The sequence below is a fragment of the Homo sapiens genome, chromosome 9 (genome assembly GCF_000001405.40).
Source record: "Homo sapiens chromosome 9, GRCh38.p14 Primary Assembly".
In the NCBI taxonomy this organism is placed as follows: domain Eukaryota; kingdom Metazoa; phylum Chordata; class Mammalia; order Primates; family Hominidae; genus Homo; species Homo sapiens.
In genome coordinates, this window is record NC_000009.12 from 39,777,965 (window position 1) to 39,791,247 (window position 13,283).

At 37.5% G+C, this 13,283-nt stretch overlaps 1 pseudogene, besides 1 other annotated feature; it reads right to left on the bottom strand.

Annotated features, from left to right (window-relative positions):
- Window positions 280-4,585, bottom strand: CNTNAP3P6 (CNTNAP3 pseudogene 6; annotated as a pseudogene).
- Window positions 3,477-4,028: an enhancer, noted in NCBI's record as "H3K27ac-H3K4me1 hESC enhancer chr9:41926459-41927010 (GRCh37/hg19 assembly coordinates)". NCBI's record gives its function as "activates a minimal SCP1, AML or CMV promoter by ChIP-STARR-seq in primed H9 embryonic stem cells {active_cell/tissue: H9 hESC(primed)}" and the evidence as "EXISTENCE:reporter gene assay evidence [ECO:0000049][PMID:30033119]".

Genomic DNA, 13,283 nt, shown 5'->3' on the forward strand with positions numbered 1-13,283 from the left:
GCCTTCCAGGCTAAAATATTTTTTCTACAGTGTTCCAAATATTCTTGCATTTCTTAAAGTCATTGTCATAAATAGCAATGATGCTTTGATAATCCTGATAACAAACTACTTCCAAACTGCAGCAACAGAAGGAAAATGGTAGGATATACAGAAAATCTTTTGAGAAATCCAGAGAGGACTGATATTAGACATAACAGCAATAACCTGTGGCTTTTCAAGAAGAGAAGCACATTTCTTCCCAATTAAAACTAGGAATTCTCGACAGATATAGTTCACTTTCAAGTGACTAGAATTGTCGCATTCCTTATAATGTCAAATGAAATATTCTTTGTTTCCTATGTTCACCGGCTCCTTGGTCACACTTACTATTTGAGCAGAACAGTCCATCATACATCGAGAAGGCACAGTCACAAGCGATCCCTCTGCGTTTCTCTCACATCTCCCTCGGAGGTGACACACGTGGCCATAGCTATGCAGTGTCCAGCATGCCCTGGCTCCACTCTTGGAGTCACTGTGGCTCTTTCTTTCAGATCCGGGATTGTCCCTTTCAACTGCAGAAAATGAATGCATTCCAGAAAGCCTGGGTCTGGTGGCCATTTCACCTGCAAGGGAAGCACTGCAAATACAAACACATTCCTTTGTGTTTTATTCAAGATTTCATCACCCTGTCAAACTGAGGCCTTATGGAGAATAGCAGAAACTGTGATCACTCAAAAGGTCTCAAGAACAAATATAATTTTGGAAACATACATTTAATGAAATGTTAAGTAATGGCAAATTACTTCATTTATTTATTTACTATATATATTCATATTTTACTTGACACATAATAATTGTACATATTTATGGGGTACAGTGGGATATTTCAGTAGATGTATAAAATGTATAATGATCAAATCAGGGTAATTAGCATGCCCATGACCTCAAACCTTTATCATTTCTTTGTGTTGGTAACATGAAAAATCCTCTCTCCCAGGTATCTGAAAAAAAAGACAACACACTGTTGTTTACTGTGGTTACCCTATAGTGCTGTACAACACTAGAACTTATTCCACCAACTAACTGTAATGTTGCAGAAGACAATACTGACCACATTTGTGAAATATTATCCTAATATGAATGATAATTATAGGTGGGGTTTTATGCTAACATAGCTGCCAAGAATTCCATAAATGAATGCCCACAATTGTAAGCGAGAAAACAAGATTATTCAATTTGGTGTGTGTGTGTGTGTGTGTGTGTGTGTGTGTGTTTCTATTCTCAGGCAGGGAGTTGGTTTTAGTTCTTTTTTTAAGAGGCCCAAACTCATACTACTGTAAGAATTAACTGCAAGTTAATTATTGCAAGTTGAAGTTATTTATAAGACTATGGTATGTATGTACATACACACAATTCTGAATTCACTGTGTAATATTAGTACTCAAAATCATATATATTGTACAGGAGAACAACCTGTGTGATAATTCATGAGTTATCTCAGTCTCTAATTGGACAGTACAATTATTTACTTTAAAATAGATTAGAAATCACCAACAGAGAGCTTTTTCTTTTAAACTAAATGCAAGCAGAGTAAAAAGAAATGTAGAGTAGAAAGAAATGAAGCAAAATATAGATCTTCCTTTGGGAAAAAAGTCAAGACACAAAAGCAGTTGAAGAGGTGTCTTTCATTTCCTAGAGTGATACACATATTTAGCAGTTCGGTAATTTTTGTTTAACAGCCATATTGAGGCTCTATTGGCATATGATGAACACACATGCTTAAAGTGCAGGACTTGTTAAATTTTTACATATGTATACAACCATGAAACTATCATCACAATTAAAATAAGGAATATATCCATCACCCCAGCAAAATATTCTCCTCCCTCTTGATAACCCCTCCCCCATAACCTCCCTGCTTCCCTCAAATCCCTGGCAACCACAGATCTGATCTCTCTCATGATTAGTTTCTATTTTCCAGAATGTCATATAAATGGAACCACACAGTATTTACTTTTCTTTATCTGGCTTTTTTCTTTCAACAGAATTATTTTGAAATTCATTAATGTGTAATATGTATCAATAATTCATTCCTTTTTATTGCTGAGTAGTATCTCGTTGTGTGAATATAGCTCAATTTGTGTGTTCATTCATTTGAAGATGGGCATTTGAATTGTGTCCAGTTTTCATCTGTTATAAATAAGCTACTATGACCATTTATGCACAGATGGTCATATGAAAATATCCTTTCATTTCTCTTGGGTAAATACCTAGACAAGAATAGCTATGTCATATGGTAGATATCTGTTTAACATTTAAGAAACTGCCAAATTGTTTTGCAGAATGTTTGTCTTTATGCCAAATTGCTTTGGTTGATTTTATTATGGTAAACTAAACTTGAATTACTGGTATAAGTCAATTTTTTGAAACTTTGTTAAGATTTTTTTGCATCTGTGGTCATGAAGTACTGTATTTTTACTTTTTAAAAATGTCTGTCTAGGTTGGGCATGGTGGCTCACGCCCATAATCCCAGCACTTTGGGAGGTCAAGGTGGGCAGATCATGAGGTCAGGAGGTCGAGACCAGCCTGGCCAAAATGACGAAACCCTGTCTCTACTAAAAATACAAAAAATTATTAGGGCATGGTGGGGGGCACCTGTAATCCCACCTACTCAGGAGGCTGAGGCAGGAGAATCACTTGAACCCAGGAGGTGGAGGTTGCAGTGAGCCAAGATCACGCCACTGCACTCCAGCCTGGGTGACAGAGCGAGACTCCGTCTCAAAAAAGAAAAAAAAATGTCTGTCTGAATGTGGTGTCAGAATAATGCTGGACTTGTAGAATGAGTTCAAAAGTATTCTCTCCTCTTCAATTTTCTGAATGAGTTTATGTTTATTTGTTATTTCTTCCTTAAATGTTTGCTAGAAAACTCCAGCGAAGCCATCTGGGCCTGGAATTTTTTTTGTGGGAAGGTTTTTAACTATAAACTCAATCTAATTAATAGACTATTCATGTCATCTATTTCTTCTTGAGTCAGTGTTAGTAGTTTACATCTTTCAAGGAATTTGTCTTTACTTCTAAGCTGTCAAACATACTGGCATACAGCTTTGCATTGTAATCTCTTATTATGCCTTTTAATATATGTAATGTATGTAGTGAGATCACCTCTCTCATTACTGATGTTGGTAAATTTTGTCTTTTTTTTCTCTCATTGATGGCAGCAGCTGCAGCCATCATGCGGGCTACAGCAGGGAGGCATGGCTGGGCCTGCATACTCCATGAAGCTGGTGGGAGCCCCACCCCTTCTGAGTTGGGGTATGAGTTCCCTGGTGCGGCTGCAGACCCAGGCCTCCTGCTCTACGGAGCAGGCTGTAGCCCAGCCCAAACTGCAGCTGTGGATCCAAGCTTCCCTGTGCTCTTGGAGGGGGCTGGGAACCGACAGGATCTGCCCTCCTGGGTACAGCTGCAGCCACCCAACCCACTGCTGCAGACCTGGGCTTCCGGCTCCATGGAGCAGGCAGGAGACGGAGACAAGCAGAAGCCCCGCCCCTTCTGAGTTGGCTGGGTGGGAGCTCCCTGGGTGCAACTAAGGCCACCCTCCCAGGCACAGGACCCTGGCATCTTGGCAGCCTGCACCTGCCACCCCCCGCTGGCTCCGGGATGTCTGCTCTCACTGCCTGGCCTCTCTCCTCTTCTGGCACCCTCTTTAATCTCCCAACAGGGTTGGTCGAGCCCTGGGGACTTGAATGGCAGGGGGAGGGAGAGTCCTGGGCAGAAGCGGATGGGTCCCCAGTAAAGCCCCACCTTCAAGCCGGGGAGGGCCTGAAGGCTGGGAGCCAGACTGCCAATCCTGTGGACAGGACTGGGGATCTGTCCCTCCTCTGGGCCGCCAATGGCTGCTCATGGACCAGTTGGCAGGTACTTCTTCCTTTCTGAGGTCCATAAAAGCCCTGGGCTCTGCCAGAGAGGGCAGAGGACAGAGAGACGATGGGATGACCAGCTGCAGAGACGAACTCTCCCCTCTACTGAGAGCTTCAGAGACCTGCAGAGACCTCCAAATGACCAGCCTGCAGAGAGGAGCCACACTCGCCAGGGCCTCCTCTCTGCTGAAAGCTGAACACTCCACCGGACGACCTGCCTGCAGAGAGGAGCTACCCACTGTGGGTCTTCTCTGAGCTGTTCTAACACTAAATAAAACTCCTCTTAATCTTCTTCGCCATTCCTTTGTCTGCGTACCTCATTCCTCCTGGATGCAGGACAAGAACTCAGGCAAAGATGCCACTGTCCACAGAGGTTTCTGGGCAAGAAAATCGACACCCCAAAGATCCTGTAACATCATGATTGGCTGTCTCCACATTTACATCATACAATTCAATTACAAACCACTGCAAAGCAGCACTTATTGATGAAGAGCTGGCTCGTGAGCTGTAAGTGGACATGCCATCAGTGGTGGCAGGTTGTAGCTTAGTAACTTGAAATGATACTTTTTTTACATTCCTCTCTGCCCTCACGTGGTGCTAATAATTGTCATAAAAGGGAGTATATGACTCCACCATGACCTCAAAAGGCCTATTCCCCATCTTAAAGGAAAATGTCACTTTTCTGGTGCTAGAAATTGTAGATATGAGAGTTGCTCAAGTTCATTTATAGTGAAGAGAAGTTAGTAGTGTATTTATACAAGCCTAACACTATGAAATGCATATATTTATTAAATACTATGGAAGGAGCCAATGGCAGTGATCCAGAAAACATATGCTTTTCAGTTGAGATAGAAGAGCAAAAGAAATCTCTATTCCTATTGCAGAGAAAAAATAGTAAATATATTTGCTCATAACAACATAACTAAACTGTTTGTGGCTTAATAAATAAAAATATAGTTATTTAAAGGTGGTTCAAGGTTTCCTATATAATCTTCCATTCCCCAAATGTGAATTTGCACAGTAAGGAATTAAAAATAAAACAAAGCAATATTACTTGTCAATTCAATCAAATAACTTTGTAATTTAGCAGAAAATAAATTGCACCAGTTTGGTTTAAAGCCCTAACTACACATCTATAGTTTCCTTAAATTAATTAAAAGAAGTCATGCAATTTTCACAGAATATCACATGCATGTTATCCACTTTAATTTCTCTTAAAAATGGGTTAGTTGCCATTATCAAACTTTAGACAAGAAATCAAACAGATAAAGTAACAATGAAAGCAACTTAGACATTAGCTGAAGGGTTTATTCCTAATTGCTGAGTACCCATGCTTTATCCACAAAGGGTGATTTACCATTTCTATAAACTGATAGTGAGCTATCCAAAATGGAAATTAAGAATACAATCCCGGCTGGGCGCGGCGGTCACGCCTGTAATCCCAGCACTTTGGGAGGCCGAGGTGGGCAGATCACCTGAGGTCAGGAATTAGAGTGACCAGCCTGATCAACATGGTGAAACCCTGTCTCTACTAAAAAATACAAAAAAAATTAGCCGGGCATGATGGCAGGTGCCTGTAATCCCAGCTACTCGGGAGCCTGAAGCAGGAGAATCGCTTGAACCTGGGAGGCAGAAAAAAAAAAAAGAATGCAATCCAATTACAATAGCAACAAAAAACTTATAAAATACTTAGGTGTAAATTTAACCAAGGAGGTGAAAGAACTGTATACTGAAAACTATAAAACACTGATGAAAGAAAATGGAAGAAAACACAAATAAATGGAAAGATATTTTATGTCCACAAAGTAGAACAATTAATAGTCTAGTTTTTATTTTTAATTTTTATGAAAACATAATAGTTGTACATATTTATAGAGTACCTGTGATATTTTGATACAAGCATACAGTGTGTAATGATCAGATATGGGTAACTGGGATATTCATTACCTCAAACATTTATTGTTTTCTTGTGTTGAGAACGTTGTGAAATACAAAATAAATTACTGTTAACTATAGTTGCCCTATTGTGCTACCAAACACTAGATCTTACTCCTTCTATCTATCTAACTGCATTTTATATCCATTAACCAACCCTTTTCGTGCCCTCCTCCCACTACCCTTCCCAGTTTTTGCTAAACACCATTCTGTTCACTACCTCCCATTTTTTTAGCCCACACATATGAGTAAAAGCATGATATTTGTCTTTCTGTATCTGGCTTATTTCACTTAACATAATGTCCTCCAATTCCATCTATGTTGCTACAAATGACAGAATTTCATTCTTTCTTCTGGCTGAATAATATTCCATTGTGTATATATACCATATTTCCTTTACCCATTCATTCATTGATGGATACTTAGGTTGATTCCATATTTTGGCTATTGTGAATAGTGCTGCTGCAATAAACATGGGAATGCAGATATCTCTTTGATACACTGAGTTCTTATCTTTTGGCCATATACCAACTAGTGGGATTGCTGGATCATATGGTAGTTCTATGGTTAGTTTTATTGACAAATCTCCACAGTGCTTTTCAGTGTGGAGATTTCCAGTAGCTGTACGAATTTACATTCCTACCAGCAGTGTATGAGCACTTCCCTTTCTCCACATCCTCCTTATCATTTGTCATTTTCTGTCTTTTTGATAATAGCCACTTTAACTGGGGTGCAAGGATATCTCATTGTGATTTTGATTTGCATTTCTGTGATCATCAATCATGTTGAGCATTTTTTCATTTATGTGTTGGCCATTTGATTTTCTTCTTTTGAGAAATATGTCTATTCAGATCTTTTGCCCCTTTCAAAATCAGAGTATTTGTTGTTGTTTTTTTTTTTTTGCTATTGAGTTGTTTGAGCATCATGGTGTATTCTGATTATTAATCCCTTATCAGATGAATACTTTGCAAATATTTTCTCCCATTCTGTAGGTTGTCTCTTCACACTGTTGATTTTTTCCTTTCCTGTGCAGAAGGTTTTTCACTCGATGTAATCCCATTTGTCAATTTTTGCTGTGGTTTCCTGTGCTTTTGAGGTCTTACTCAATAAATCTTTGCTCGGACCAATGTCTCGAAGGATTTTACCTAAGTTTTGTTCTAGTAGGTTCACAGTTTTGAGGCTTACATTTAACTCTGTAATGCATTTTAAGTTGATTTTTGTATATGGTGAGAGATCAGGGTCAAGCTCCACTCTTCTGCATATGGTTACTCAGTTTTCCCAGCACCATTTATTAAAGATACTGTTCTTTCCCCAGTGTATGTTCTTAGGGCCTTTGATGAAAATCAGTTGGCTATAAATACATGGATTTGTTTCTGTGTTCTCTATTTCGTTCCTTTGGTGTATATGTCTGTTTTTATGCCATAAACATGCTTTTTATTTTTTATCACTGCAGCTTTGTAGTATATTTTGAAGTCAGATAGTGTGATGTCTCCAGCTTTGTTCTTTTTGTTCAGGGTTGCTTTGTATACTCAGGCTTTTTTGTGATTTCACATGAATTTTAGGCTTGCTTTTTCTATATCTGTGAAGAATGTCACTTGATAGGAATTGTCTTGAGTCTATAGTTAACATTGGGTAGTATGGACATTTTAACAATATTAATTTTTCTAATTCATGAATATGAGTTTTTTTGTTTTTTGTGTCCTCTTCAATTTCTTTTATCAGTGTTTTACAGTTTTTATTGTACAGATCTTTTACCTCTTTGGTTAAATTTATTCCTAGGCATTTTATATTTTTGTAGCTATGGTGAATGGGATTGCTTCCTTGATTTTCAGATTGTTCACTATTGGCATATGGAAACGCTACTGGTTTTTGTATGTTGATTTTGTATTCTGCCACTTTGCTGAAATAGTTAACCAGTTGTAACAGCTTTTTAGTGAAGTCTTTAGCTTATCCTAAATATAAGATCATGTCATTTGCAAACAGTGACAATTTGACTTCCTCTTTTCCAATGCTCTTTATTTCTTTTTTAATAGCTCTGTCTAGGACTCTTTCACCACTTTTCAATAAAAGAAAACGATGTGATTGACCACTTTTCAATAAAAGTGGTGAAAGTAAATATCCTTGTCTTGTTCTAGATCTTAGAGAAAGGATCTTAGGGGAAAGTGAATATCTTTGTCTTGTTCTATGTTAGAGAAAAGGCTTTCAACTTTTCCCTATTCAGTACGATGTTAACCGTGGGTTTATCGTATATGAACATTAATGTTTTAAGGTATGTTCTTTCTATACCTAATTTGTTGAGAGGGTTTTTTTTAATCACAAAGAGGAGTTGAATTTTATCAAATACTACTTCTGCGTCTATTGAGATAATCACAAGGTTTTGTTCTTTATTCTCTTGATGTGATGTATGTGATGTATCACATTTATTGATATTTGTAGGTTGAAGCATCCTTGCATCCCTGGGGGAAAATACCACCTGATCATGGTGTATAATCTTTTTTCTGTGCTGTTGGATTTTGTTTTCTAGGGTTTTTTTTTAAAAGAGTTTTGCATTTATGCTCATTAAAAATATTGGCCTATAGTTTTTTTTGTTGTGTCCTTGTCTGGTTTTGGTATCAGGGTAATGCTGGCCTTAAAAAAGATTTGGAAGCATTCTCTCCCCTTTGATTTTTCAAAATAGTTTGAGAATAATTGGCATTAGCTTATCTTTAAAAGTTAGGTAGGATTCATCTGTAAAGCCATATGGTCCTAGACTTTTCTTTGTTAGACTTTTTATTACTGATTCAATCACATTATTCATTATTGTTCTATTCAGGTTTCCTGTTTCTTCATGGTTCAATCTTGGTAGGTTATATGTGTCCAAGAATATATCTATTTTATAAGTTTTCAATTTGTTGATGTAAATTGTTCATAATGGTCTGTAATGACCTTTTGTATTTCTGTTTTATCAGTTGTAATATCTCCTTTTTATCTCTGATTCTATTCCATTGAGTTTTTCTTTTCATTAGTCTACCTAAAGATTTGTTGATTTTGTCTACCTTTTCAAAACAATATTTTCATTTGGTTGATCTTTCATATTTTTAGTCTCAATTTTATTTATTTTTGTTGTGATCTTTAGTATTTCTTCTTCCTGTAATTTTGGGTTTGATTTATTCTTGCTTTTCTAGTTTCATGAGGTGCATCATTATATTTGAAATCTTTCTACCTTTTTATATAGGCATTTATTTCTATAAACTACCCCTCTTAGTACTGCTGCTGCTTTTGATATATAACATAAATTTTGGTATGTTGTGTTTCTATTTTTATTTGTTTTAAGAAATTCTTAAATATTCTTTTTAATTTCGTTATTTACCCATTGGTTGTTCAGGAGCATGTTGTATTGGTGCATTTTCCAAAGTTCCTCTTGTTATTGATTTCTAGTTTTATTCCATTGTGGTCAAAAAAGATACTTGATGTGATTTTAATTTTTAAAAATGTGTTGAGACTTGTTTTGTGGCCTAACATATGGTCTATGCTGAAGAATGCTCCATGTGCTCATGAGAAGAATATATACACGTTCTCCAGCTGTTGAATGACATTTTCTGTAAAAGTTAGGTTTATTTGCTCTAGAGTGTAGTTTAAGTCCAATGTTCCTTTGCTGATTTTCTCTTTGGATGATCTGTTCGGTGCTGAAAGTAGGGTGTTGAAGTCTCCTATTATTGAAATGCAGTCTGTCTCTCCCTTTAGATCTAGTATTTGCTCTGGTGTTGGGTGGGTGTATACTCATAATTGTTATACCTTCTTGCTGAATTGATCCTTTTATCATTATATAATAATCTCCTTTGTCTCTTTTTAGGATTTCTAATGTGAAGTCTATTTTATCTGATAAAAGTACAACTACTGCTGCTTTCTTTTGCTTTCCATTTGTATGGAATATCTTCATGTGTCCTTACGGGTGAGGTGAGTCTTTTGTAGGCAGCATATAGCTGGGTCTTTAAAAAAATACCTCATTTAGCCACTATGTATCTTTTAACTGCAGAATTTAATCCATTTACATTCTAGGTTATTATTGACACGTATGAACTTACTCTTGCCATTGTTAAAGTGTTTTCTAGTTGCTTTGTAGAGCCTTTGGTCCCTTCTTCTTCTCTTGCTTTCTTCTCTTGTGGCTTCATGGCTCTCTGTAGTAGTATGTTTTGGTTCTTTTCCTTTTATCTTTTGTGTATCCATTACAGGTTTTGCTTTGTGACTACCCTGTGGCTTACATAAAACATGTTATACTTATAACAGGTTAATTTAAGCTGATAACAGTTAATTTTGGTTGCATACACAAACTTTTCACTCTAACTTCCTTTTCTCCCATGTTTGATGTTTTTGATGTCACACTTTACATCTTCTTATAATAACAAAAATAACATAAGTAATAATTTCATATACAATAATATAAATAAAAATAATAGGCCTACTCAGCCACTCAGGCCTTTGCTGCTCCTCCAGAGAGGGACTTGCAAACATTCAAAGAATTTGCATGCCATAGACAAGGCCAGGAAGAACTGTGACCGGATTCACAAGGCCTTCCCAGGCCTTACTGGGCATCCTTACCTGGTGCCCACAAACAGGGAGTACTTAGAACATATTTTCTGGTGCCTCTGATGACAGGCACTGCTTTGGACTGGAGTGGAAAGTAGGGCACCAAACCCATCCCTGGGGCCTTCACTTTCTAGCCAGATGCAGTCCCCCCCCCAACCAGGGGTCTTAAGAAACTTTCTGGAGACTCATCGGGCCAACCAGACCCATGCAACAAGGTACCCTTCTCAGGCCTTCACACCTGGCCCCATCTGAGCAGCCCCCAAAGCCTTCCTGACCACTGGCTCCCATCCAGGCTCTCCCCAGTTCCATGGTCCATTCAGATTTGTCCTGGCCTCCAGAGAGGGGTTTAGATAAATTTTGCAGGGTGCCTCCTATGACCAATCCCCACTCAGTCCACCAGGTGGAAGGGATGCCCACCCTGGCCTCCATGACTAGTTAGGGAATGTCTCAGCTAGCTAATTGGGAAAGAGAAACGTTTTAGGGAGTGCTGTATGCAACTGTGCCCCACGCAAAACTGTAGCCATGTCAGAGACCCTTCCTGGAGGCTCCCTGTCCAGCTTTGACTGATCTCTGTAGGAAATACAGACATTCCCATAGGGGAAGTAAGAAACTCTTGGAGACATTAGTTGTATTTTTGTTTTCATGTAGTTCAAAGAATTATTTTAATTTCTGTTGAGATTTCTTCTTGACCCTTATGTTATTTAGACGTGTATTTCTGAATATCCAAGTATTTTGAGATTGCCCAGCTATCATTCTATTACTGGTTTGTATAATAGTTTCCAGTGTTTTCGGAGAGCAGGTATGGCATGGTTTTTATACTTTGAAATGTGTTAAGGTGGGCTTTATGGCCCAGAATGTGGCCTATCTTGGTGAATGCTCCATGTGAGAGTGAAAAGAATATGTATTCTGCTGTCATTACACTAAGTAGGCTATAGATGTTAATTACTTCCAGTTGTTTGATGATGCTGTTTAGTTCTACCATATTTTATTGATTTTCTATCTATTGGATCTCTCCATTTCTGATAGAGGGTGTTGATGTTTACAACTATGATTGTGAATTCTTTTATTTATCCTTGCAGTTCTATCAGTTTTTTGCCTCACATATTTTACCACTCTTGTTAGGTGCACACACATTAAGAATTGTTACATTTTCTCAGATAATTCACTTTTTGTTATCAAGCAGTGCCTATATTCATCCAGAATTATCTTTTCTCTCCGAAGTCTACTCTGTCTGAAAACTAATATAGCTGCTTCAGCTTTCTTTTAATTATTGTTAACCTTGTATATCTTTTTCCATTTCCTACTTCAAAACTATATGTCTTTGCATTTAAAGTGAGTTTCTTGTAAACAATGTATAGTTGGGTCTTTTTTGTGGGGGATCAACTCAGATGAACTCAGTCTTTAATTGGTGTATGTAGAGCATTGACATTAAAGGTGATTACAGATGCAGTTAGATTGGTATTTATCATGTCTGTTATTATTCTCTATTTGTTGTCCTGTTTTTTTCTTCCTATTTTTGCCTTCCACTCTTTTCCTGCCTTTTGTGGTTTTAATTGAGCATTTTATATGGTTCCATTTTCTCTCCCATTTAAACATGTAAATTCTTCCTTTCTTTTTACTGTTAAAAAACCTTTCTATTGGTTGCCCTAGATTTTGGAATGTACATTTACCATTAGTACAAGTCTACTTTCAAGTAATACTATATTGCTTTATGAGTAGTGCAAGTATTTTATAATAACAAAATATTTCTAACTCTTCCCTCCTAGTTTATATCATTGCTATTATTCATTTAACTTATCAATAAATTATAAACATCTAATAACTATTGCTATCATTATTTTGAACAAATTATTTATTAGCTGCTATATCAATTGAAAATAAGAAAATGCAAAGTTTTTACTTCACATTCATATATTCATTTTTTATATTCTTCCTTTATGTAGATCCAAATGTCTTACTTTTCTCTTAAGAACTTCTTTTAACTTATTCCAACATTTCTTGCATGCAGGTCTACCAGCAACAAATTGCCTCAATTTTTGTTTTCTACAAAAGTCTCTGCCAGGCACAGTAGCTCACACCTGTAATCCCAGCACTTTGGGAGGCCAAGGCAGGTGGATCACTTGAGGTCAGGAGATCAAGACTGGCCTGGCCAACATGGTGAAAACCCACCTCTACTAAAAATACAAAAATTAGCTGGGCCTGGTGGTGTGTGCCTGTAATCCCAGCTACTCGGGAGGCTGAGGCAGAAGAATCACTTGAACCTGGGAGGCGGAGGTTGCAGTGAGCCAAGATCACGCCATTGCACTCTGCACCCCAGCCTGGGTGACAGAGTGAGACTCCATCTCAGAAAGAAAAAAAAAAGTGTTTAATTCTCCTTCACTTTTGAAGACTATTTTGTCTAAGGCATTCATGGTATCGCAGTATGATTCTAATTTGCATTCTCATGAATTTGCTATTTTCATTTACTGTTTCATCATGGACATTTTTCCATGTTACTACATGTAAGTCTCCCGCCCTGAAGAAATAAACCAAAACATAAATTAACGGTACTGTATAGATGTACCAGAATTTTTTAAACCTGGCTCCTCTGAATGGCTATGTTTTCTTTATTTTTTGTTATTAGAAGTAATGGTGAAATCAGTATTCTTATCACGCATGTATTTGCACCGATGTTCCCCACACCCATTTGTTGTCATTTGACTTTGTCCTGGTACGTGCACAGATAAATTTTCTTTAAACTTTATGCTATCAAGTTAATCAATCGTGTCCTTGATGGCTTTCGAGTTGTCTTTGTTGTATACATGCCTTTTTATTTTTATTTTAAGAGACAGCGGTCTATTTGTGTTGCCCAGGCTGGTCTCAAACTGCTAGCCTCAAGCGATCCTC